Genomic DNA, 27,603 nt, shown 5'->3' with positions numbered 1-27,603 from the left:
GAGGCCCTGTTATCTGGACACAGGGATTTGGGTATCCAGAAAGCCTGTGCTATGACGGAGTGGCTCTCCTCACCTTGAAAGAAACATCCTACAATAGATACGTTTACTGAAATTTAGTCCCAAGCAATGTGTTAAAGGTTTATATTTTGTTATTTCATTTTATCTTCACAACCACTCTATGAGAAAGGGCTTTTTTTTTTTTTTTTTTTGACAGAGTCTCACTCTGTCGGCCAGGCTGGAGTGCAGTGGAATGATCTCGGCTAACTGCAATCTCCACCTCCCGGGACACCAACCTCCACCTCCCAGGTTCAAGCACTTCTCCTGCCTCAGCCTCCCGAGCAGCTTGGATTACAGGCCTGCACCACTACACCCAGCTAATTTTTGTATTTTTAGCAGAGACGGGGTTTCACCATGTTGGCCAGGCTGGTCTTGAACTCCTGACCTCAAATGATCCACCCACCTCAGCCTCTCAAAGTGCTGGGATTACAGGTGTGAGCCACTGTGCCCGTTGAGAAAGGGATTCCCCCCCGCCCCCATTTTACAGATAGTCTAAAATCTTGCCCTGGTTACACAGTCATTGAGTGGCAGAAACAATATTCACACTTAGAACTGTCTGGCCCCAAAGGCTATAACTTGTAACCATTATACTGTATTCTTCCCCTCAGCCTGAGTTTCCAATTCCATGTTTATCAGGCATGTCTATTTTAGTAACTAATTTGGCATCTTGGAATGGAAAATTCCCTATATAAGCATTTTGGTTTAGGTCACCAAAAGAATATCTGACAATGTAAATTTGTGGAGTTTTCCTGCAAGTTTGAGGAATATGAATCAATGCTGTAGTACCTGTTCACTTCTGGAGAAAACTTATACAATCAAGATCCTGAAACTAGCTGGATGTGGTGGCTCACACCTGTAATCCCAGCACTTTGGGAGGCCAAGGCAGGTGGACTGCTTGAACCCAGGAGCTTGAGACCAGCCTGGGCAATATGGTAAAACCTTATCTCTGCAAAACAATAGAAAGAGAAAAATTCGCTGGGCATGGTGGCATGTTCCTGTAGTCCCAGCTACTAGGGAGGCTGAGTTGGGAGGATCACTTGAGCCCAGGAGGTTGAGGCTGTAGTGGGCTGTGATCACGCCACTGCACTCCAGCCTGGGTGAAAAAGTGAGACCTGGCTGGGTGCGGTGGCTCACACCTGTAATCCCAGCACTTTGGGAGGCCGAGGTGGGTGGATCACCTGAGGTCAGGAGCTCAAGACCAGCCTGACCAATATGGGGAAACCCCGTCTCTACTAAAAATACAAAAATTAGCTGGGTGTGGTGGCACATGCCTGTAATCCTAGCTACTCGGGAGGCTGAGGAAAGAGAATTGCTTGAACCTGGGAGGCGGAGGTTGCAGTGAGCCGAGATCGTGCTACTGCATTCCAGCCTGGGTGACAGAGTGAGACTCCATCAGAGAAAGAAAAGGAAAGAAAGAACGAAAGAAAGAATGAATGAATGAACGAAAGGAAGGAAGGAAGGGAGAAAAGAGAGAGAAACCCTATCTCAAAAAAAAAAAAAAAAAAAGGATCCTGAAACTGCAAAACTAAGGTTTAGATCCTACCTCAGTGAGACCTGCAAAAGTGATACCCACAGAATAGTCAAAAGAGGAAAGTTGGAGAACTCACACTTCCTGATTTGAAAACTTAATACAAAGGTATAATAATCAAGACAGTGTGGAACTGGCATAAGGATAGGCATATGGATTAATGGAATAAACTATAGAATCCAGAAATAAACTCTTACATTTATGGTCAATTGATGGTCAATTGATTTTCAGTAAGAATGCCAAGACATTTAGATTGGGAAAGAGTAGTCCTTTAAACCAATGGTGGGACTGCTGGATACACACATACTAAAGAATGAAGTTGGACCACTACCTCACACCACACAAAACAATAAACCAAAAGGGACCACACACCTAAATGTAAGAGGTAAAGCTATAAAACTCTAAGAGGAAAAATAGAAGTAAATCTTTAGGATCTTGGATTAGGCAATGATTTCCTTCATATGACACCAAAAGCATAAATGACAAAAGAAAATATAAACTAGACTTCATTAAAATTAAAAACTTTCATACAAGAAACCACAAAAAGTAGATTAAACTTCATCAAAATAGAAAACCTTTTCAGTGTCAAAAGACACTGTTAAGAAAGTGCAAAGAAAGACAAAACAGAATGAGAGAAAATATTTGCAAATAAATTACAGATGCTCCTCAACTTACAATGAAGTTTTGTCCTGATAAACCCATTTTAAGTTGAAAATACTGTTAAGTTGAATATGCAGCTAATACACTTAACCTACTGAACATCATAGCTTAGTCTAGCCTACCTTAAATGTGCTCAGAACATTGACTGTAGCCTACAGTTGGGCAAAATCATCTGGCAACGCAGTCCATCATACAGTATGGGTTGTTTGTCTTTGTGATCATGTGGCTGACTGAAAGCTAAGCCATCATGAGAGATTATCTACTATATATCTCTAGCCTGGGAAAAGATAAAAATTCAAAATTCAAAGTACAATTTCTACTGAATGGGTATCACCTTAGCACCACTGCAACGTCAAAAAATCTTAAGTCAGCTGGGCGCAGTGGCTCATGCCTGTAATCCTGGCACTTTGGAAGGCCGAGGCAGGTGGATCACCTGAGATCAGGAGTTCGAGACCAGCCTGGCCAACATGGTTAACCAGCTTGGCCAACCCCATTGCTACTAAAAATACAAAAAATAGCCAGGCATGTTGGCACGTGCCTATAATCCCAGCTACTCGGGAGGCTGAGGCAGGGGAATTGCTTGAACCCAGGAGGTGGAGGTTGCAGTGAGCTGAGATTGCGCCACTGCACTCCAGCCTAAGTGACAGAGTGAGACTCCATCTCAAAAAAAAAAAAAAAAAAAAAAATCCTAACTTGAACCATGATAAGGTAAGGACAGTCTGTATCTGATAAGGGTTTAGTGTACAGAATATATAAAGAGCACTTACAACTAAACAACAAAGACATAAATAATCCAATTAAAAAGTGGTCACAGTATCTGAGTAGACATTTCTTCAAAGAAGATCTACAAATAGCCAATATGCACATGAAAAGATGCTCAACACATTAGTTGTTAGAGAAATGCAAATCAAAACCACAATGAGATACCACTTCACTCTCATCAGGATGGCTACAATAAAAAAGACAAACAATAGTAAGTGTGATATGGTTTGACTGTGTCCCCACCCAAAACTCGAATTGTAGCTCCCATAATTCCCACGTGTAGTGGGAGGGCCCCAGTGGGAGGTAATTAAATCATGAGGGTGGGTCTTTCCCATGTTGTTCTCGTGATAGTAAGTCTCACGAGGCTGGGTGTGGTGGCTCACACCTGTAATCCCAGCACTTTGGGAGGCCGAAGAGGGCAGATCACCAGAGATCAGGAATTCAAGACCAACCTAGCCAACATGGTGAAACCCCCATCTCTACTAAAAATACAAAAAATTATCAGGGCATGGTGGTGGCACCTGTAATCTCAGCTACTTGGGAGGCTGAGGCAGGAGAATTGCTTGAAACCAGGAGGCAGAGGTTGCAATGAGCCAAGATCATTGCCACTGCACTTCAGCCTGGATGACAGAGCGAGACACCTTCTCCAAAAAAAAAAAAAAAAAAAAAAAAAAATTAAGTCTCACCAGATCTGATGGTTTTATAAAGGGGAGTTTCCCCAACACATGCTCTCTCTCTCGCCTGCCACCATGTAAGATGTGACTTTGCTACTCCTTTGCCTTCTGCCATGATTGTGAGGCCTCCCCAACCCTGTGGAACTGTGAGTCTATTAGACTTCTTTTTCTTTATAAATTACCCTACTCAGGTATGCCCTTATTAGCAGCATGAGAACAGAGTAATACAAAGTGTAATTGAAGATGCAGAGAAAGTAGAACCCTCGAACCCTGGTACACTGCTGGTGGGAATGTAAAATGATGGTTGTTTTGGAAAACAGTTCTTCAAAAAGTTAAACATAGTTACCATATAACCCAGCAACCCAAGAGAAATTAAAACATATGTCCATACAAAAACTTACATACAAATGTTCACAGCAGTATGATTCACAATAGCCCAAAAGTGGAAACAACCCAAATGTCTATCAGCTGATGACTGGATAAACAAAAATGGCATATACACAAACTGGAATGTTATTCAGCCATAAAAAAAGATTAAGTACTGATAGTACAACACAGATGAACTTTGAAAACATAATGCTAAGTGATAAAAGCCAGATACATCCCCTAGTAAGCCAACTCAGAAGACAGAATTATTACACAAAGATGTTTAATTTTAAAAAAATTAGGCCGGGCGTGGTGGCTCATGCCTGTAATTCCAGCATTTTGGGAGGCCGAGGTGGGCAGATCACTTGAGGTCAGGAGTTCGAGACCAGCATGGACAACATAGTGAAACCCTGTCTCTACTAAAAATACAAAAATTTGCCAGGCGTTGTGGTGTGCATCTATAATCTCAGCTACTCAGGAGGCTGAGGCAGGAGGATCGCTTGAACCCAGGAGGCAGAGGTTGCAGTGAGCTGAGATACAGCCACTGCATTCTAGCCTGGGTGACAAGAGCAAAACGCTTGTCTCAAAATAATAATAATAATAATGAAAATTAAAAAATAAAAAGTATGAAAGCCAGATACAAAAGGCTTGACTGTTTGATTATATTTATATGAAATGTCCAGAATAAAGTAAGAAAGTAGACAGAAAGTAGATTAGTGGTTGCCTAGGACTGACATGGGAGAAGGGGGATGAAGAATGGAGAGTGACTGCTAATAGCTATGTACAGGGTTTCTTCTGGGGGGCAATAAAATAGTTTTAAAATTAGATTGTGGAGATACTTGCACAACTCTGAATACACTAGAAACCACTGAAGTATAAATTTTATCAAGTATAAAACTATCTCAATAAAGCTGGTTAAAAAAAAAAAAAAGTGATTCCAGGCCGGGCGTGGTGGCTCACACCTGTAATCCCAGCACTTTGGGAGGCCAGGGCAGATGGATCACCTGAGGGTGTGAGTTCGAGACCAGCTTGGCCAACATGGTGAATCCCCATCTGTACTAAAAATATAAAAATTAGCTGGGTGTGGGCCGGGCGCGGTGGCTCACTCCTGTAATCCCAGCACTTTGGGAGGCCGAGGTGGGTGGATCACGAGGTCAGGAGATCAAGACCATCCTGGCTAACACAGTGAAACCCTGTTATCTACTAAAAATACAAAAAAAAAAAAAAAATTAGCCGGGCGTGGTAGCGGGCGCCTATAGTCCCAGCTACTCGGGAGGCTGAGGCAGGAGAATGGCATGAACCCAGGAGGCAGAGCTTGCAGTGAGAGGAGATCGCTCCACTGCACTCCAGCCTGGGCGACAGAGCGAGACTCCGTCTCAAAAAAATAAAAATTAGCTGGGTGTGGTGGTGCACACCTGTAATCCAAGCTACTCAGGAGGCTAAGGCAAGAGAACTTCTTGAACCTGGGAGGTGGAGTTTGCAGTGAGACAAGATTGTGCCACTGTACTCCAGCCTGGGCCACAGAGTGAGACTCTGTCTCAAAAAAAAAAAAAAAAAAGGGATTCCCAGCCAGCAATTTCCAACTTTGTTACAGTATTGTACGCATTAAATCCACATATATGAATCTAACATATGAACACGTTGAGACAAAAAGATAATATTTTAATTATATTCATAAAATTAGTTCCGCAGTAAATAATTTTTAAAGTTTGAAGATTGTTGTAGTGGCACTGTCATTTCTTATATTGGGCTCACCAGTTTTGTGACTTTGTTATAATTTACTTAATTTACACATATTTAAATACTTACACCATGTATGTATACTAGGGTAGGTGCTGTGTTGGCTACAGAAGAGATTATTATTCCCGTATAAATAATAATACATTATGAATAATAAACATATAATAAATATTGAACAAGTGTGTGTATATGAAATACCTTCTCACTCATCTTTATTGACATCCATTCACAGGCTGAGGCATTAATGAAAATGTTCTTTCACTGATCAATAAGTACTGACAAACATTAAAGTATGTTTTTTCATCTTTTACACATTTTATGCAGATTCATAACTTAAATGTTTTATGCTCCATTACATTATAGACTCTAACATGATTTTTGTCTCTCAGCACTAATGAATAGTAGGTTGAAGAGCTCAGATACTTTTCCACTCTAGGAAAAGACTCTGAAAGGAACTTCAGTTGATTCAGCAGTAAGTGAAAATGAACTCCACATTAGCCCCTGGGAGTTGTGAAATTTCCTTAACTCGGTGAAGAACACAGGTTCTTTTTAGAACAGGACTGAAGGATATCACTAGAAAGTTCTTTAGACTTCTTTTTCAGGCTCTTGTTCAAGCAAACAGAAATGAGGGCTAGGTATGCTTTCAGGTGTAGCTAGCTTAAAGTACCTCAAAGATCATTTAAAAGCATGCTCAGCACTGTTCTCAAATCTAGAGGCAGCTGGTAATAACAACATCCAAGGGATATGTTCAGCCAGAGAGCTGTTCTTCAGATTCTCACTTGTAGGCCCACTTAATCAGGGTCAGGTCTTAGAGTCTCCAAGTTTTATCTAGTTTATCCCCTGCTTTTAGCTAGAATATACTTCAAAGCATGATCCTACTTTACAGTTCAAATCTTAACACTGTTCTGCTTTTATAAACAGCTGCTTGTCCTAATCTTAAAAGGTCTTCAGGAAAAAGACGGTTTGCTGGTTTCCTTGATAAAATATCCCCGAGCATCTCATTCCTTCTCTTTGTGCATCTGTTTCTCTTTGGGTAACATAAGCACTCCTGGAGAAGTTGCATCTAAATCAAGTTTGGAGAGATCAAAAGGATGAAATGTGGCTGTTATTTAAAAAGTGAATTCACTCAGCAAGTATTTAAAGGGGATCTGTGATGTCTCAGGCACAATGCTAGGGGCTGGGAATACAACAATGAACAAGATAGATATGGTCCTCTGGCTTCATGGCCAATTATTTTCTAAAGCAAATAAACAGTAATTAATTATATTTATTAATTTGGTAACACTTAACCTTCATTTGCAGGTACTGTAATTGGTATGTTTATAGGGTTTTTGTTTGTTTGTTTTTGTTTGTTTTGAGACAAGAGTCTGGCTCTGTCACCCAGGCTGGAGTGCAGTGGCACGATCTTGGCTCACTGCAGCCTCCAACTTCCATGTTCAAGTGATTCTCCTGCCTCAGCCTCCCAAGTAGCTGGGATTACAGGCGTGCACCACCACACCCAGCTAATTTTTTGTATTTTTAGTAGAGACAGAATTTTACCATGTTGGCCAGGCTGCTCTCAAACTCCTGGCCTCAAGTGATCCACCCGCCTCAGACTCCCAACATGCTGAGATTACAGGCGTGAGCCACTGCACCTGGCCTGGTGTGCTTTAGAAAGCATGTATGACTTATACCACTTAGCCTAAGGAGTGATGGAAACTGTAAACATGTATTTTTCCAATCAACTAGTTGTTTTTTGTTTTAGTTTTTGAGATGGAGTTTCACTCTTGTTGCCCAGGCTGGAGTGCAATGGTGCGATCTCGGCTTACCATAGCCTCCGCCTCCCGGTTTCAAGCGATTCTCCTGCTTCAGCCTCCTTAGTAGCTGGGATTACAGGCATGCGCCACCACACCCGGCTAATTTTGTATTTTTAGTAGAGACGGAGTTTCTCCATGTTGATCAAGCTGGTCTCAAACTCCCGACCTCAGGTGATCCGCCTGCCTCAGCTTCCCAAAATGCTGGGATTACAGGCGTGAGCCACCACACCTGGCCCCAATCAACTGGTTTTATAGGCATTACAGGCATTTTATTTCCAGAAGAAACCCATCCTAGTGCAATTTTTTAAAAAAATTTTTTTATTTTTATTTTTTTAGAGACAGGGTCTTGCTCTGTTGCCCAGGTTAGAGAGCAGTGGTGCAATCATAGTTTGTTGCAACCTCCAAGTCCTGGGCTCAAGCGATCCTCTTACCTCAGCCTACTGAATAGCTGGGACTACAGGCATTGCCACCATGACCAGCTAATTTTTTAATTTTTTTTTTTTTGTGGAGATGGGGTCTTCCTATGTTACCCAGGCTGGTCTCAAACTCCGAGGCTTAAGCAACCCTCCTGCGTCAGCCTCCCAAAGCACTAGGATTATAGGTGTGAGCCACTACACCCAGCCTCCTGGTGCAATTTAAATCCATTTTGTCTTGTATAAGGTTCAACAAAAGAGAAAATGGCAATGGAGTTCCCTGGACATTTCTTGACTTGTTTTTGTTGTTTTGTTTTTTTTCAGTATGGAGTTTCGCTCTGGCACCCAGATTGGAGTGCAGTGGCTCAGTCTCGGCTCACTGCAACTTCTGCCTCCCAGGTTCAAGCAATTATCCTGCCTCAGCCTCCCAAGTAGCTGGGATTACAGGCATGCGCCAACACGCCTGGCTAATTTTTTATATTTAGTAGAGACGAGATTTCACCATGTTGGCCAGGCTGCTCTTGAACTCCTGATCTCAGGTGATCCACCTGCCTTGGCCTCCCAAAGTGCTGGGATTACAGGTGTGAGCCACCATGCCCAGATGACTTGTTTTTCCTTACTTGATAGCCATGCTTATAATTCTGTCACCACCTTTCTGCAATCCCATGAGCTAGCTTTCATACTCCTACTTGGATCATGGGAAGAGCTTACAAAATTCATATATTGCTGTTAGGAATAAAATAAATAACAATTATCACAATCTTGTTTTGTTTTTTTTTTAAATAACAGTGAGTTTTCTTTGCAAGTGGATTTGCAAATTTAATGTAAAAATATATAATCTTCAATAATTTTAAAATTATATTTCTTCTTCCCTCCCCAGCTTTATTGAGGTATAATTGCTATGCAGAAAACTGCACATAATTAATGCCTACAACTTGCTGAGTTTGGACATATGTGATACCATTACCATAATCCTGGTAATAAACATATTCATCGCCTCCAAAAGTTTCCTTGTGTCCCTTTTTTTCAGGTTGGGGGGCCTTCTTTAGAAAGTTTACCTTAGGCCAGGCATGGTGGCTCATGTCTGTAATCCCAACACTTTGGGAGGCTAAGGCAGGTGGATCACTTGAGGTCAGGAGTTCGAGACCAGCCTGGCCAACATGGTGGAACCCCATCTCTACTAAAAATACAAAAGTTAGTAGGCATGGTGGCGGGTGCCTGTAATCCCAGCTACGCGGGAGGGTGAGGCAGGAGAATTGCTTGAACCCGGGAGGTGAAGGTTGCAGTGAGCCGAGATTGTGCCACTGCACTCCAGTCTTGGCAACAGAGCAAGACTCTGTCAAAAAAAAAAAAAAAAAAAGAAAGTTATCTTTTTTATTGAGATGTTTTGAAGCATTCTTGTTTTATCAAGACATCATTATGATATCTAACGTAAAAGTATTTGGAGATTTTTGGAATTCTTGGACATTTTGGCTGAGGATGCGTATTAATTATAGTTGCTTTATTTGCACTAAACCCCATGGTTTTAGAGAATGAGTAACAACATGCCAACCAGGAAAATTAATTCTAGGTTATATGATTGAAAAAAATTAAGAGCAGTGGGATCTTAGAGAACATTTTGCCAAAAATAAATCAGTATAGCCTTTTTCTCTGGTTACCATTAGATGTTAAGCAGTTAGTGACCTTCCACAATTTAAGCAAAAGTCTTAAGTGGAAACAAAGAAGGGACATCTTTTTGAGACAGATTCTTGCTCTACTGCTCAGGCTGGAGTGCAGCGGTGTGATCTCGGCTCACTGCAACCTCCGCCTCCCAGGGTCAAGCGATTCTCATGCCTCAGCCACCAGAGTAGCTGGGATTACAGGTGTGCACCTCTACACCTAGCTAATTTTTGTATTTTTGGTAGAGACAGGGTTTTGCCATGTTGGCCATGCTGGTCTCAAACTCCTGGCCTCAAGTAATCCACCCGCCTCCGCCTCCCAAGGGGAGATTTCTTAAAATATGAAATCCATTGAAATATTTAGGTCTTGGCCGCATGTGGTGGCTCATGCCTGTAATCCTAGCACTTTGGGAGGCCGAGGCGGGTGGATCATGAGGTCAGGAGATCGAAACTGCCCTGGCTAACAAGATGAAACCCCGTCTCTACTAAAAATACAAAAAAAATTAGCTGGGCGTGGTGGCGGGTGCCTGTAGTCCCAGCTACTTGGGAGGCTGAGGCAGGAGAATGTCATGAACCTGGGAGGCAGAGCTTACAGTGAGCCAAGATCGCACCACTGCACTCCAGCCTGGGAGACAGAGAGAGACTCCGTCTCAAAAAAAAAAAAGAGAAATATTTAGGTCTTATACAGGCACATATTTGATTTCTCCAGCATTACAGATAATTGAAAAAACATTCCCCCTTCCAGAAAGTTTGGGTAAAGATCTCAAAAATAGTATGTCAGGCCGGGTGCAATGGCTTACATCTGTAATCCCAGCACCTTGGGAGGCCAAGGCAGGTAGATTACCTGAGGTCGGGAGTTCGAGACCAGCCTGGCCAATATGGTGAAACCCCTTCTCTACTAAAAATACAAAAAATTAGCTGGGTATGGTGGTGGGTGCCTGTAATTCCAGCTACTTGGGAGGCTGAGGCAAGAGAATCACTTGAACCCAGGAGGCAGAGGTTGCAGTGAGCCAAGATCATGCCATTGTACTACAGCCTAGGCAACAGAGTGAGATTCTGTTTCCAAAAATATATATATATATATATATTACGTCAGAGAACTGAATGTCTGTGGCTATCGCCACATGAATAGTCTGTATTCTAAGACTAAGGGATTAGCACAAATCCTCTGAATATCAAATATATAATTGAATTTTTTCCTTTGCATTGTTTATCATGGTGTCATACAGGACTTCCTAAATTTTTTTTTAATTTTTTTAAAAATTTTAAGTTCTGGGGTACATGTGCAGGATGTACAGGTTTGTTACATAGGTAAACGTGTGCCATGGTGGTTTGCTACACCTATCGACCCATCACCTAAGTATGAATCCCAGCATGCATTAGCTATTTTTCTTGATGCTTTCCCTTCCCCCTTGCCACTCCCCAACAGACCCCAGTGTGTGATGTTCCTCTCCCTGTGTCCATGTGTTCTCATTGTTCAGCTCCCACTTATGAGTAAGAACATGTGGTATTTGGTTTTCTGTTCCTGAGTTAGTTTGCTCAGGATAAAGGCTTCCAGCTCCATCCATGTCCCTGCAAAAGACATGATCTTGTTCCTTTTTATGGCTGCATAGCATTCCATGGTTTAAATGTACCACACTTTTTTATCCAGTCTATCATTGGTGGGCATTTTCGTTGATTCCATGTCTTTGCTATTGTGAATAATGCTGTAATGAACCTACCTGTGCATATATCTTTATAATAGAATGATTTATATTCCTTTGGGTATATACTCAGTAATGGGATTACTGGGTCAAATGGTATTTCTGGTTCTATGTCTTTGAGGAATCACCACATCCTCTTCCACAATGGTAGAACTAATTTACATTCCCACCAACAGTGTAAAAACGTTCCTATCTCTCCACAGCCTCACCAGCATCTGTTGTTTCTTGTCTTTTTAACAATCGCCATTTTGACTGGGACTGCCTAACTTTTTCCTTATAATCAATAATTATTGACTAGCAAAGCAGAACCCTCTCTATCCAGCACACCTTATCCTGGCTCCTGGAGGATGCTTCTCTTTGTGTTTCTCTTGCAGAGTGTGTACTATTTGGCAAGAACATACTGAGTGATTTGTACAAACTATAAGAAATGTCAGGCCAGGCATGGTGGCTCACGCCTATAATCCCAGCACTTTGGGAGGCCAAGGTGGGGAGATCACTTTAGGTTAGGAGGTTGAGACCAGCCTGGCCAGCACGGTGAAACCCTTTCTCCACTAAAAATACAAAAATTAGCCGGATGTAGTGGCATGCGCCTGTAATCTCAGCTGCTCGGGAGGCTCAGGCAGGAGAACTGCTTAAACCCATGAAGTGGAGGCTGCAGTGAGGTGAGATCGCACCACTGCACTCCAGCCCAGGCAACAGAGTGAGACTCTGTCTCAAAAAGAAAAAAAGCAAAAAGAAAATGTCAGGCTGGTATTTGCTTATGATCTGCCGCTCCTCTTTCTAGATAACTGAAAGCACCTGGAGTCTGTTCCTCAAACACACCCTCCTTGTCTCGGAACCTTTTCACCTTCTCTTCCCTCTGCCTTACCACTGGCTCTAGGTACAGCTGCTCCTTCTTCCTCTTCAAGTCTTGCAAAAATAATTCCTCATATTAGAGGCCTTCTTTGACTCCTAATTTCCTAGTTTATTTCCTTCCTAACACTTAACCGCAGTCCTGTTTATATATTTACTTTTTGTCTCCATCCACTAAAAAAGAAAGCATCTTAAGGCATAAGCAGGTTCTGTCTTGTTCCTCGAAAAACTCTCAGCACCTAGAACACAGGTGCTGAATAAATGTGTATCTTACACAAAACAAACCGATCACTCAACATACCCATATTGTTCTGGCAGAAAAACCGGCTGCCATTTGGAGTTATCCGACCTGGTTTTGAACAGGACACTGGAAGCCTTTATTAGAGGTTCTGAAGCCCAGCTCCATATTTTTAGGTTGGTGCAAAAGTAATTGCGATTTTGGCCATTACTGGCAAAATAATAGAACCTAATAGAATAAGATTAGGAGATTCACCAACCTCATAGAATCTCCCAGGAAACTTAAAAATTATCTTTGCTCAGACCCTGCTCAGACTTAGGGGTGATGGGTCAGTATGGAAGCATTACGTTTTAAAAGCTCTTTTTGTAATTACTTGTGCAACCAACATGGAAAAGTACTGCTCTGAGTGACACAGAACTGAATAATTACCTGGCTACCCATGTTCTTATTATCTGGGTGAGTCCTTCTTAGGTCATCTAGGTTGACAGCATCCCAAGCTGTTCTTCGGATCATTCTCTAGGCTGCTATAAACATTTGCCTCATTATCACAAGAGGCAGCCTTAGGCACAAACCAGATGAAAAATCAACCTCTCAGGAAAGAAAAGAGGCATTCAAGTAACCTAAGTTAATCTGTTAACACCTGTCCTGAAAACCTCAAACTAAAGGGAGAAAGAAAACTGCAGCACACTTCTCTTTTCTTTCTTGGAAGAAAGTCATCAACAAATCCCTTCATTTAGCTGTAGAAGTAAGAGGCAATCAATCAATCAATCAATCAATCAAATACTTGTGCTACAAAGCAAATAAAAAAATAATGCTGGCCTGGCACGGTGGCTCACGCCTGTAATCCCAGCACTTTGGGAGGCCGAGGCGGGCGGATCACGAGGTCAGGAGATCGAGACCATCCTGGCTAACACGGTGAAACCCCGTCTCTACTAAAAATACAAAAAATTAGCCAGACGTGGTGGCAGGCGCCTGTAGTCCCAGCTACTCGCGAGGCTGAGACAGGAGAATGGCGTGAACCCGCGAGGCGGAGCTTGCAGTGAGCCGAGATTGCGCCACTGCACTCCAGCCTGGGTGACAGAGCGAGACTCCGTCTCAAAAAATAAAAATAAATAAATAAATAAAAAATAATAAAAAATAATGCTGGCCAGGCGCAGTGGCTCACGCCTGTAATCCCAGCACTTTGGGAGGCCAAGGCAGGTGGATCACTTGAGGTCAGGAGTTAGAGACCAGCCTGGCCAATACGGCAAAACCTCGTCTCTACTAAAAATACAAAAATTAGCCAGGTGTGGTAGCATGGGCCTGTAATCCCAGCCACTCGGGAGGCTGAGGCAGAAGAATCACTTGAACCTGGGAGGCAGAGGTTGCAGTGAGCCAAGATCGTGCCACTGCACTCCAGCCTGGGCAACAGAGCGAGACTCCATCTCAAAATAATAATAATAATAACAATAATAATGATGCTCACAGAAGAGTGAGATGGTCAGATTCCATCCTCTTCATGGAAGAAATTAGACCAAATAGTGGTGGGTTCAAAAATGCTTGTTCATATGTTTTTGTTATGGCAAACTCTAAACTTTAAGGCCTTGCTTACAATTGGAACCTCTTTTTTTTTTTTTAAAGAAAAAACAGTAGTTATTGATTTTTTTCTCAAGCAATAATTAATAACCCTTTTCCTCAAAATCATCATCATATGTTAATAAAGGTTGGGTGTGGTGGCTCACACCTATAATCCCAGGATTTTGGGAAGCCAAGGTGGGAGGTGAGGCCAGGAGTCCAAGACCAGCCTGTGCAACAAATCAAGACTCCTATCTCTAAATAAATACATACATACATAGCCAGGCGTGGTGGTGCATGCTGTAGTCCTAGCTACTCAGGAGGCTGAGGTGAGAGAATCGCTTACGCCTAGGAGTTCAGTTTGAGGCTGCAGTGAGCTACAATCGTGCCGCTACACTCCAGATTTTTTTTTAGAATGACAGAATAAGACCCTGTCTCTGTAAAACAAAACAAAACAGAAAAAGAACAAAAAAACTAGGCTCATCCTGGAAGTCAACTGGAAACCACTCTCCTCCTCCAGTTAAAAATGCCAAGACTCGACTGGGCGCAGTGGCTCACACCTGTAATCCCAGCACTTTGCGGGGCTGAGGCGGGTGCATCATGACGTCAAGAGATTGAGACTATCCTGGCCAACATGGTGAAACCCCGTCTCTACTAAAAATACAAAAATTAGCTGGGCGTGGTAGCATGTACCTGTGGTCCCAGCTACTCGGGAGGCTGAGGCAGGAGAATTGCTTGAGCCCAGGAGAGCGAGACTCCATCTCAAAAAAAAAAAAAAAAAAAAGTGCCAAGATTCTTGTAAAACAGAGAGAACACAGGATTGAAAGTGGAAATATCTGAGTTGTAGTCCAGGCTTACTACTAACCAACTGAATGAGTGATTAGCAATTTTTTCTTGTCTGTGAAATAAGACTCATAACATCTATGCTGCCTGCCTCACATTGACGTTCTTTATTTATTTATTCTGAGACAAGGTCTCGCTCTGTCACCTAAGCTGGATTGCAGTGGTACAATCATGGCTCACTGCAAACTCGGCCTCCCAGGCTCAAGTGATCCTCATGCCTCAGCCTCCCAAACGTAGCTGAGACTAGTCACACACCACCAAGCACACATAATTTATTTTTAATTTTAATTTGTTTTGTTTTGTCTTTAGAGGGTCTCGCTCTGTCACCTAGGCTGGAGTGCAGTGGTGCCATCATAGTTCACTGCAGCCTTGACCTCCTAGACTCAGGCAATCCTCCTGCCTTAGCCTAGAACTACAGGCGTGAGACACCACACCCAGCTTATTTTTATTTTTGTAGAGATGGGGTCTCTCACCATGTTGCTGAGGCTGCTCTTGAACTCCTGTACTCAAGTGACCCTCCTGCCTTGGCCTCACAAAGTGCTGGGATTATAGGTGTGAGCCACTATGCCTGGCCTTGTTGCTGTTTCTTATAGATAATATTCATAAGCATTCTCCAAAAATACTACATTGTGCAAATAAAAAGTACTGGTCTTTTGTCTTGTTAGTGAACTTTAAGGAAAAAAAAATCCAGTTATAGGAATTAAAAATATTGACTTAGGATATACCATGTGCCCTGCAAAGTGCTAAACAAAAAGAATGGCCCATAATACTTACTTTGTGACACATGCTTGGCATATATCTACCACCAGAGAAACTGAACACGTTACACTTAGAACAACAGGTAGATCAACAAACAGGGAAAGTAATTTCCTTTGCAGCAGGAGAGAAGCTCAGCTCAGCCAAGTCCAGGAATAACATTGAAAAACCCACTTATTTCTTCCCCAAAGTCTGTTTTCACCCCTAGATCTCAAGTTCTTTCATTTCCACTGAAACAACCCAGGGCATGGAAGGGACTACTTAAATTCAGGGGCCCTCTTATCAGTTAAGATTAGGGCAACAAACTTGAACAGTTGTGAGTTAACAAGCTACCATTCAAGGAATCTTCAGTAGATAAGAGGATCTGGAAAGTTGAAAGTTGAAAGCAGTTTTGCAGGTGATTTTAGGACAGCTTAAAACAGAAGAAAGACCTGCTGTTGCCTGATTTCTCAAATCGAGAAGCAAATTTAGAGGTTGTCTGGTTGAGAATATGCTGGCACTGATACAAGCTGGAATCCTGTGTGTTCAAGACAAGTTTTTAACCTCACCTAGACTTAGTTTCCTTATTTATCAGTAAGACACAGACAAAGATATCTTCTCTGCAGGGATAATAATCTGAATCTTAGAGATGATACATATAAAGTCATCGCATATTAAGTTGTCAACAAATTATAGCTAATTTTTTTAAGGCCAGTTGAGTGATTTTCAGACTTGTTCTAGTGGCAGAGCATTTGGAAGTTGCAGATCATTGTGAAATGCTGAAATGTGGTATCAAACCATATGAACGTTTTTTAGTAGCAAATATGACTACATTCCTATGAACAATATAATATCAGAAATAAGAACATATATGTTCACCAAAACAAAAAAGAAAATTCCCCAATACAAGCTATTGAACTGGATAATGAGTCAGAATCTTCCCATGGTATTCGTTGGCTACTTGTTCATTTCATCAGCCTGGGGTTGGAGCTAGTGGTAAGTGTAAGCAGAAAAGCACATGAGGCAAATGGAGAAAAGACTAAACATTCAGATGAACTACAGGCCTCAAAGAATTTGCAAACCTCTGCTAATAACCGTATACTAGAGCTGATCAATGAATCCAAAGATTTTCAAACATTTTTAAAGTGAGGAAATTCTTTCTTGAAAAAGACTTTTTTTCTTTTTTGGCAGAAGAACCCTGAGATGTAAAACAGAAAAGTGGAAACCCCAAAGAGAAAATGGAACAAAGGCTCAGCTGCCCTCCTGCAAGCCCTGGGATTCCCCGACCCTCCCCAGCTCTCCCAGGCATCTCTGAAGATGTCTTGCGCTTGGTGGGGCACATGCTGAAAATCTGTAAGTCCAGCCCCCTCATTCTGCAGATGAGAAAATTAAAGCTGGAGTGGCTGAGGGATTTATCTGAGGTTGCACAGTGAGTTTGTGGGACAACCAACATTAGAACCCAGGCCTATGAGTCTCACTTCAGCATTTTCTTCCATTCTGCCAGGACTACTCAGACATTACTCCACAATAATCTATTGGTTAAATAGGTGGGGCAGAACCTTGGCAAAGGGGTCAACTTGGAAAAGGTCAACTCCCCAAAAAATGTACCTTCTCAAACTGTCAGGTTGACCAGATGTCCTTCCTTTGCCTACTTTCTTATCATGTTCCATGCTGCACCCAGATTACCTGTTTATGTCAGAGATCACACACTGGCCCACACCGTGTCTTTAACTATCTTGAATCAGTTGCCAGCATCTCAAAATCAGAATATTTTGGTTTTAAAAAAATTTTTATTAACATTTTTATTTTTTGAGATGGAGTCTCACCATCACCCAGGCTGGAGTGCAGTTGCTCAGTCTTGACTCACTGCAACCTCCGCCTCCCAGGTTCAAGCGATTCTCCTGCCTCAGCCTCCAACTAGCTGGAACTACAGGTGCACACCAGCACGCCTGGCTAATTTTTCTGCATTTCTGGAAGAGACAGGGTTTCACCATGTTGGCCAGGCTGGTTGCAAACTCCTGACATCAGGTGATCCATCCACCTTGGCCTCCCAAAGTGCTGGGATTACAGGCGTGAGCTACGGTGCCAGCCCATGAAAGCAGCATTACTTTTTAAAATATATTTTTTAAAGTTTTTAATAGAGACAGAGTCTCACTATGTTGCCCAGGCTGGTTTTGAACTCCTGGGCTCAGTTGATCATCTGGCCTCAGCCTCCCAAAGCACTGGGATTACATTACAGGCATGAGGCACTGCACCCAGCCAAGAAAGCAGATTATTTCTGAAGGCATTCACCTCATCGTTTGAAACTGGATTGTCTTCTCTATTTTAGGTTTATCTTTGTTCCTGTAAGTTCAGTTCTCAAAAATACTTCTATAGACATAAGCTTTAAACCACCGGTCACAAACTCAAATGCCTACCGGGACCAGACAGTAATGGGCACAAGCTAGGAAATGAGGCAATAGGGACTGCTGGGGATGACAAACTGGAGAGTGCATAGCTTTACTCGGCTCCTGGGATTATTATCTATTGGGTATAAGAGTTCAATGTTGCTAGAATTTCTCGTTCTTCAATAGAAACTGGGAATCCAGGCCGGGCGCAGTGGCTCACGCCTGTAATCCCAGCACTTTGGGAGGCCGAGGCGGGCGGATCATGAGATCAGGAGATCGAGACCATCCTGGCTAAAATGGTGAAACCCCGTCTCTACTAAAAATACAAAAAATTAGCCGGGCGTGGTGGCGGGCGCCTGTAGTCCCAGCTACTCGGGAGGCTGAGGCAGGAGAATGGTGTGAATACGGGAGGCGGAGCTTGCAGTGAGCCGAGATCACGCCACTGCACTCCAGCCTGGGTGACGGAGCGAGACTCCATCTCAAAAAAAAAAAAAAAAAAAAAAAAAGAAACTGGGAATCCAAATTTTTAGGCAAAATATTCTGATCTTAGGACGGGCGCTGTGGCTCACACCCGTAATCCCAGCACTTTGGGAGGCCAAGGCAGGTGGATCACCTGAGGTCAGGAGTTGGAGACTAGCCTGGCCAACATGGTGAAACCCTGTCTCTACTAGAAATACAAAAAATTAGCCTGGGCATGGTGGCGCACGCCTGTAGTCCCAGCTATATGGGAGGCTGAGGTAGGAGAAAAAAAAAATGCTGCTTTCTTGCATTGATTATGAAGGAAACTTTCAGTGTTTCCTGAATTGTTTATTTTTCTGAGGGCTGTTAAATTAACTACAAACTAGCTGGACTACGAGTCCCAAAATTGCTTTCTGGGTGTCCCTGTTTATACTACTATCTGTAGCACAACTCCAAACACCCCTGCCCCTCAGGAGACGTGTCACTAAACCACACAGCAGCCTTTTTCCTGTGCCCCCATGCACCTCAGTTAGCACTGGGATTAGGAGAAACTGGCTGAGAGCCCCAGGATTATCCCCAGGACAGGGCAACCGGGCATGGCATGAGAGATAGGAACCATTCTTAAGGAGCTGCTCGATCCCTGCTTTCCAGCAGTGGCAATCCAGACTCTCATCTCATTATTCCTCCCTGCACATCCCAAGATCAGTTATCCCCAGATACACCCCCTCTCCTTCAATCATCTTACTCTCTTTCCTCATGAAAACTTACCAAAGTATCAGATATTCACACAGAGGTTTCATTACTTTATTTTATTTTATTTTATTTTATTTTTGAAACAGTTTTGCTCTTATTGCCCAGGCTGGAGTGCAATGGATCGATCTCGGTGCAATGGATCGATCTCAGCTCACTGCAACCTCCGCCTCTGGGGTTCAAGTGATTCTCCTGCCTCAGCTTCCCAAGTAGCTGGGATTACAGGCACCCACCACCATGCCTGGCTAATTTTTGTATTTTTAGTAGAGACAGGGTTTCACCATGTTGGCCAGGCTGATCTCAAACTCCTGATCTCAGGTGATCTGCCCGCCTTGGTCTCCCAAAGAGCTGGGATTACAGGAGTGAGCCACCGCGCCCGGCCCCACACAGAGGTTTTAATAATTGATATCTGCATCTATCTATCTATCTATCTATCTATCTATCTATCTATCTATCTATCTATATTTTTTGAGACAGGATCTCACTCTGTTATCCAGGCTGGAGTGCACTGGTGCAATCATAGCTCACTGCAGCCTCCACCTCCTGGGCTCAAGTGATCCTCCTGCCTCAGCCTCCTCAGTAGGTGGGACTATAGGTGCACACCACCGCACCTGGCTAAATTTTTTTGTATTTTTTGTAGAGATGGGGTTTCAACATGTTGCCCAGGCTGGTCTCAAACTCATGAGCTCAAGTGATCCACCCACTTCAACCTCCCAAAGTGCTGGGACTACAGGCATGAGCCACTGTGCTTGGCCTGATATCTGCATATTTCTACTTTAGCATTTTAACCTAAAAGTGGGTATTGCTAATAATAAAATTTTAGAGATCACAATAAGTGGGTAAAAAGAACATTTTGGAGATAAAAAGGTCTTACCCTCAAATTATACCACAAGGAAAGTTTATGACTTTATTTGAAAGGCTCCAACTTTATAATCTCCACTCCTTCAAGACTTGGTTCAGGTGCTACCTTCTCAATGATGCCTTCTTTTATTGTAGTCCTCTCCCTTCACCCCTCCCTCCCTATTGTATCCCCTGCTTTGTTTTTCTCCCTGTCACTTAGCACCACATGATATACAGTGTTTTACTTATTTTTTTGTTTACTCTCTCTCCATTAGAAAATAAGCTTCAGGGGATAAGAATTTCTGTTTGTTCATTGCTACGTCCTCACTGCTGTGACCATACCTGGCCTACAGTAGGTACTCAATAAAGGTTTGATAAATAAATGAACTTGTCATGCCCATGCTCAGGTAACAATGTGCCAATTATATTTATTTATTTTTATTAAAATTTTTTTAGATGGGGTCTCGCTGTGTCGTCCAGGCTGCAGTGCAGTGGTGCCATCATGGCTCACTGCAGCTTCACCTCCTGGGCTCAAATGATCCTCCTGTCTCAGCTTCCCAAGTAACTGGAACTACAGGCATGTGCCACCACGCCTGGCTAAATTTTTTAATTTTATTTTATATTTTATTTTATTTTATTTTATTTATTTTATTTTATTTTATTTTATTTTATTTTGAGATGGAGTGTCACTCTGTTGCCCAGGCTGGAGTGCAGTGGTGCAATCTCGGCTCACTGCAACCTCCACCTCCCGGGTTCAAGCAATTCTCTTGCCTCAGCCTCCTGAGTAGCTGGGACTACAGGCGCACACCACCACACCCAGCTAATTTGTGTATTTTTAGTAGAGACGGGGTTTCGCCATATTGGTCAGGCTGGTCTTGAACTCCTGACCTCAGACGATCCACCCGCCTTGGCCTCCCGAAGTGCTGGGATTACAGGCCTCCCAAAATGCTGGGATTACAAGTGTGAGCCACCACGCCTGGCCTACATTTATTTTTTTAGAGACAGGGTCTCGCTATATTGCCCAGGCTGTTGAAAATTTTATCAATAAACAGATGCAAAATAGAATTTCTAGATGGTGAGGGTGACTACATATTGTAAAGATGCCTTTTTGTGTGTGTGGTAGTGTACTCTTATTCTACAACTTAATTTTCTCATTCGAAGTCATTCTAATTCATTTCACAGTCTTCTCATTTTTTAAAAATGATTTTCTTGTATTCCATAATTTGGTCAACCAGTGCCCTGGAGCTCAGAAGTTTTGATGCCATCTTTCCTTTGTGTATGTATCTTTTGCAATGAACATACACATTACCTCTTCTAAATGTTTTCAAGGATAAGATCTATTCCTCTTCCTCCTCCTCCTTCTTTTTTAAAATCTAGAATAGATGTAGGGTAGGCCATTTTGGGAAGCAGGATGCTAGATTCTGCACTATAACCACACCATATGCACATCGCGCTGTGTGTGTGTGTGTGTGTGTGTATGTATGTGTGTCTGAGGCAGTTGCATCTTTAACTAGATTATGAACCTTTTTTCTTTTCCTCTCAGCTAACAATGATGGGGTTCAGTTTTTTATCTGAAATGTGTCCTAGTAAATACCTGTTATAATAAGACCTAATTTGAAAAAGAAACAGAAGATGTTCCCAGCTACTTAACTTTAAGCACTGCCTTCCAGCTGTCCTTCGGGAAATATCCATTAGTCATTTTTTGTTGGTGGTGTTTATACCTTTTACTATGCTTCTTTGAGTTCACCAAACAGCACATTTAGGAAACTTTGGTTCATTTTTCAAATGCAAACATTCTGAAGCCTGAACTTCTGGTTCAAGTGTTCTAACTTGGCTTCAAGGTCAGAACACAAATTGAAGGATAGATCCCAGACCATTTTAGAATCATGATGGCAACGCATATGCCATTTGTATTGAACTAACTGACCAATGTGCTGAGCAGAGACGATGCAAAGGAGAATAATGAGAAACAGGCCACTTTAGCACATGAAAATCATCCATTTAAAAAACTTCTGAGCCAGGTGCGGTGGCTCACGCCTGTAATCCCAGCACTTTGGGAGGCTGAGGTGGGCAGATCACTTGAGGTCAGGAGTTCGAAGCCTGGTCAACATGGTGAAACCCCATCTCTACTAAAGATACAAAAAATTAGCCAGGCATAGTGGCAGGCACCTGTAATCCCAGCTACTTGGGAGGCAAAGGCAGGAGAATTGCTTGAACCCAGGACGCGGAGGCTGTAGTGACCAAGACCGCGCTATTGCACTCCAGCCTGAGAAACAGGAGTGAAACTCAGTCTCAAAAAAAAAAAAAAAAAAGTTCTTATCATTGTTGTGACCAGAGACAGTTATCACCAGTGAAAATTCAAGACCCACAGCATGGAAGATTAGATTACCAACTCCCAGATCAAAGGAATGTAGAGACAAGGAATGACTCTTCTCCAAAGCACCTGAATTTATGATATCCTGGACATAGTCTCATAGTATAACTTTGATTCCAGGCTCTTTTAAAAGCTGAAAACTCTCCTATGGAATAATATGCATAAAAGGTTATTCACTGGCGTATTGTTAATATTAGCAAAAGTTTGGAAACAACCTAAGTGACCATCTTAGGGAACTGGTTGACCAAATTATGGAATACCCGTACAATGGAATACAGTAAAATCATTTTTAAAAAATGAGAAGACTGAAATAAATTACTAATAGAATAATTTCAAATGAGAAAATCAAGTTGTAGAATAAGTGTATGCTACCACAAAAAAAAGGCAAAACAAAAATACGCACATAAAACCGTATTTGCTTATATACATTTACATACATATATATGAAATATCTCTGGAAAGGCCCATAAGAAACTGAAATTATTGGCTTCTTCTAGAAAATGCACTGGATACTGGGGGGACAGGGTTTGGGGGAGACACCTCACTATATATCCTTTCGAATTTTGAATCAAACAAATATAATTCCTACTGAAATAAATAAACTTAATATTTTAAAGAGGCTGCGCGTGGTGACTCATGTCTGTAATCCCAGCACTTTGGGAGGCCAAGGTGGGAGGATTGCTCGAGGACAATAGTTCAAGACCAGGCTGGGCAATTAGCGAGACCTCCATCTCTACAGTTTTTTGTGTTTTTTTTGTTTTTTTGTTTTTTTTTAATTAGCCAGTCATGGTCTTAGCTACTTGAGAGGCTGAGGCAGCAAGACAGCTTGGGCCCAGGCGTTCGGGGCTCAAGGTAGTAAAATTACATTAAATGATTTTTTAAAATTAAGCCCTTCAACTAGGAGAATATACGAGAAAGAAGTTCATTATAACTTTTTTTTTTTTTTTTTGAGACAGAGTTTCATTCTGTCACCCGGGCTGGAGTGCAGTGGCACGATCTCAGCTCACTGCAACCTCCGCCTCCTGGGTTCAAGCAATTCTCCTGCCTCAGCCTCCCGAGTAGCTGGGATTACAGGTACCTGCCACCATGCCCAGCTAATTTTTTGTATTTTTAGTAGAGATGGGGTTTCACCATGTTGGCCAGGTTGGTCTTCAACTCCTGACCTCAAGTGATCTGCCCGCCTTGGCCTCCCAAAGTGCTGGAATTACAGGCACGAGCCACTGCACCTAGCCCATTGTAACTTTCTTATACAGTTTCTGTAGGTTTGAATTGTTTTCAAAATAAAAAAATAATTTAACAAAATAAGAATCTCTCCTCCAGGGTGATGAGTTGAGTTGGGTGCTTTCAGCTAGGGGCTGTCAAGGAAGGAGAAGTACCCAAGAGAATTTGCTGGCTTCCAATGTATATCAATAGTGGCCTGAGAGCCAAGGGCAGAGTGGAAATCTCTGCTCTGCTGCCATCATGAAATGGGTTTCCAACATTGGCAATGCAATTTCTAACTGTGCCATAATCGGAAACAACATTCTTTAACTGAAAATGGCCAAATCTTTGTGCTGGTTAAATACAAGGGGGAAAAAATAAAATGTCAGAGTTCACCCTTTTCCTCCAAACATTTAGGAAAGGAGTTAAATGCAGTCAAAGCTTAGATTTTAGAAAAATTCCCCTGGCCAACTCCAGGGAAGAGGAGCAGCTCCACGACCAGAGCAAACCAGGTATTTCCTGTGCAGGCCCAGCAAGAATCCTGTGCAATGAAGTCGTTTATAACAGAGGAATGCTTTGGCGAGAAGGGAAGGCCATGGAGTAGGAAATCAACATATTTGTGTTCCAGTCCTGAAGGTACCTCAGCCCTTTTCATATACAAGCTTAATGTTTTAAGCCCGAGTAGCTGCCTCTATGAAATGCAATCATAAAAGCTGCCTTACTCACCTTCCTGTGCTGTTGTGATGACCAAAAGGTAAAGAGGGGTACAAAAGCATTTTAAAAACTATAAGGCACTAGAGACCAATGTTAGGTATGTACAAAACAAAATACCTGTTGAGGATAACTTTGAAGTTTTCAATCAGAGGAAAAAGCAAATGTGATCTTTAGGATGAGATAGATAAGAACTTTCTAGCTCTACCCCCTCATCTGCTAGAGGACTTAGGGCAATTCTTCTAGCCATTCAGAACCTCAGTTTGCTCACTGCAAAATGAGGTTAACGCTCCCTATTTAACAAGCTGGCTGTAAGAATAAAGTAAATAGCATATATAAAGTGCTGGGCACATAGAGAACTCACACAAAGATGAGTTCCCTTTTAACCTGCCTTGGGTAAAGAATCAGCGTCTCCATCAAGGGATACTCCATTCACTGATTTGCTCATTCATCAAACTCTCTGTGCTATCTACTCAATTCTTCTGCAAATCTAAAAGTGTTCTAAAAATAAAAGCTAAGCTGGGCATGGTGGCTCACACCTGTAATCCCAGCACTTTGGGAGGCTGAGGCAGGAGGATCACTTGAGCTCAGGAGTTGGAGACCAGCCTGGGCAACATGATGAAACCCCATCTCTTTTTTAAAGAAAAAGAAAAAAAAAACAAATAAAATCTACCTTTTTTTTTTTTTTTAAAGAGACAGGGTCAGGGCCAGGTGGGGTGGCTCATGCCTATAATCCCAGCACTTTGGGAGGCCAAGGCGGGCGGATCACGAGGTCAGGAGATCGAGACCATCCTGGCTAACATGGTGAAACCCTTTCTCCACTAAAAATACAAAAAATTAGCCAGGGGTGGTGGCGGGTGCCTGTAGTCCCAGCTACTCAGGAGGCTGAGGCAGGAGAATGGCGTGAACCCGGGAGGCGGAGTTTGCAGTGAGCCGAGACTGCGCCAATGCACTCCAGCCTGAGTGACAGAGCAAGACTCTGTCCCCCCAAAAAAAGAAAGAGACAGGGTCTCACTCTGTCACCCAGGCTGGAGTTCAGTGGCACCATCACAGCTTACTGTGGCCTTGAACTCCTGGGCTCAAGCAATCCGTCTGCCTCAGCCTCCTGAGTAGCTACGACTACAGGCATGCACCACCATGCCTGGCTAATTTTTTATTTTTTTGCAGAGATGGAGTCTTGCTATGTTACCCAGGCTGGTCTTGAAGACTGGCCTCAAGTGATTCTCCCACCTCTGGCCTCTGAAAGTGCTGAGATTACAGGTGTGAGCCACCATGCATGGCCTAAATCTATTAAAAAAATATTTATTGTGGGTATAGAGTGTCACAGTTCAGAAGAGAGACTCTGGAGTGAGACTGTTTGGGTTGAATCAGGTTCTGCCACTTACTAGCTGGATGACCTAGGACATTTATTTAACAGCTCTGCACTTTAGTTTCCTCATCTGTAAGCACTATGAAAAAATCTTACTATTAATATAATAATAATAATTATTATTAGACACTGTACTCAACACAGGGAATACAGTTGTGAAGAAGGCAGTTTTGAACCCTACTCTCATGAAGCTAAAACAAGGGGCTCTGAAATCACCTATCAAACATCCTAAATGTAGAGAAACATAGGGCCAAAGAGGTGAAGTGACTCCTACCAAGGCCAAACAACTAGTTAGTGAGTGAGTCCTAGTGAAGACCAGCCAGGACTAGGCAGAGAGTTCCAGATTGCAAGCCACTGTTTCTCCATTGCCCAGTACAATGCAACCAGCATCACCCAGATTCACACCTTCTGGAAACTTAATAGCCCTGAAGTATGAGAGTAGATTACAGAAATCAACTGGAAGCGGCCCAACAATTCTACACATTCCTGACCTCCACTTTTTTCCTACGACCCATTCCTTACACTGTTGTCCTTACCTGGCCTACATATGATCTCTCTACAAATTTCAGATGTGGAGTTCATGATGGAGACGACATGGAAATGCCCAACTCCCTGACACCACTTGATTTTCACTTGTGCTTAAAAATCTTAAACAAGAACAAGGGTTGGGTCTCTCACAGACCTCTTGTAAAGGCTCAAATCCAAGTATGGTGTGGCCTAAAGTGTATACAATACTAGGGTACTCTCCTTAGAAAAGGAATACATTATTATGAATTAAAAATTAGGTACAAGGCCTTGTAAGGGACACCTGCAAATGAAGAGCCCTGAGGTTTCCTGGTAAATCCAGCTTTGCTCCTATAGTTGCCTAATTTCTTTCCTTCTTCCTTTCTTCTTTCCTTCCATTTATCTAACTTGCACCTACCCTACCATCTAGCACCCACTGTACACCAGGCAGTAACTTCATAAGTTTACATCCTGATTAAAAAATTGTCGGCCTGGGCAATTTAGTGATATCTCATCTGTACAAAAAATTTAAAAATTAGTTGAGTGTGGTGGCACATGCCTGTGGTCCCAGCTACTCAGGAGGCTGAGGCAGGAGGACCACTTGAGTATGGGAATTTGAGGCTGCAGTGAGCTGTGATTGCACCGATGCACTCCAGCTTGGGTAAAAGAGTGAGACCCTGTCTCAAAAAAAAAAAAAAAAAAAGAAAAGGAAAAAATGTGAGATTGGAGTAAAAAAGATTTATTCCAGTCAGCAGGTTTTTATCCATCTTATGATAAACTTGCTTTTCTTGATATAAAGGAATAAGATGATGTACACCTAATCTGTCGGTAATGTGTAAACAAGCTATGTGGGGCTGCTTGTTAGATGCAGTAAATCCTAATGTAGCCAGAGGCTACAGCTTTCTATTTACACTTGTGAACACACCCAGAGGCAGGCTCTTCTATCATGAGCACAGTGAACAAGTAAAACAACCCTTTCAGATGGTACAGGGCAGTGACATAGCCATCTAGAGAAAATATTATATAGTTACACATAATTATATATAATAACATGTTTTATGCACATCATCTGATTTCATGTTCACACCATCTGATGTAGTAGTAGGATGGTTTTATTAAAAATCCCCATATTACAGATTGGAGACAGAGGCCTATAGTGACTTGCCAATGTCATAGAGCTTCTAAGTGTTTGTGAAGGTAGATTCTACTCAAGCTGGGGGTGGCAGCTCACGCCTGTAATCCCAGCACTTCGAAAGGCCAAGGCCAAGGTGGGTGGATTGCTTGAGCCCAGGAGTTCAAGACCAGCCTGGACAACATGGTGAGACTCCATCCCTACAAAAAAATTAAAAAATTAGTCGGGCATGGTTGTGCATGCCTGTAGTCCCAACTACTTGGGAGGCTGAGGCGGGAGGATCACTTGAGCTCAGGAG

General features: G+C 42.5%; 1 protein-coding gene across 28 annotated transcripts in view, besides 2 other annotated features; it reads right to left on the bottom strand.

Annotated features, from left to right (window-relative positions):
* CHD9 (chromodomain helicase DNA binding protein 9) overlaps positions 1-27,603 on the bottom strand; it is a 272,507-nt gene that overhangs the window by 199,348 nt on the left and 45,556 nt on the right. For 5 of the 28 annotated variants that reach the window (NR_168116.1, NR_168119.1, NR_168114.1 and 2 more), the window contains one exon: positions 5,972-6,850. The exons of 18 other annotated variants lie outside the window; for them this stretch is intronic. The gene's annotated coding sequence lies outside the window, so the exon portion shown is untranslated. Of the gene's footprint in view, positions 1-5,971; positions 6,851-12,876; positions 13,185-14,278; positions 14,439-27,603 lie in introns of those variants that run through there. 5 more of the 28 variants (NR_168117.1, NR_168120.1, NR_168123.1 and 2 more) reach the window with 3 other exon arrangements.
* Positions 6,426-6,626: a silencer, noted in NCBI's record as "peak2596 fragment used in MPRA reporter construct". NCBI's record gives its function as "represses an SCP1 promoter by STARR-seq MPRAs in K562 erythroleukemia cells {active_cell/tissue: K562}" and the evidence as "EXISTENCE:reporter gene assay evidence [ECO:0000049][PMID:32103011]".
* Positions 16,768-16,837: an enhancer, noted in NCBI's record as "active region_10841". NCBI's record gives its function as "activates an Ori minimal core promoter by ATAC-STARR-seq in GM12878 lymphoblastoid cells {active_cell/tissue: GM12878}" and the evidence as "EXISTENCE:reporter gene assay evidence [ECO:0000049][PMID:35858748]".

The sequence above is a fragment of the Homo sapiens genome, chromosome 16 (genome assembly GCF_000001405.40).
Source record: "Homo sapiens chromosome 16, GRCh38.p14 Primary Assembly".
In the NCBI taxonomy this organism is placed as follows: domain Eukaryota; kingdom Metazoa; phylum Chordata; class Mammalia; order Primates; family Hominidae; genus Homo; species Homo sapiens.
This window is presented reverse-complemented; position numbering and strand designations above follow the sequence as displayed.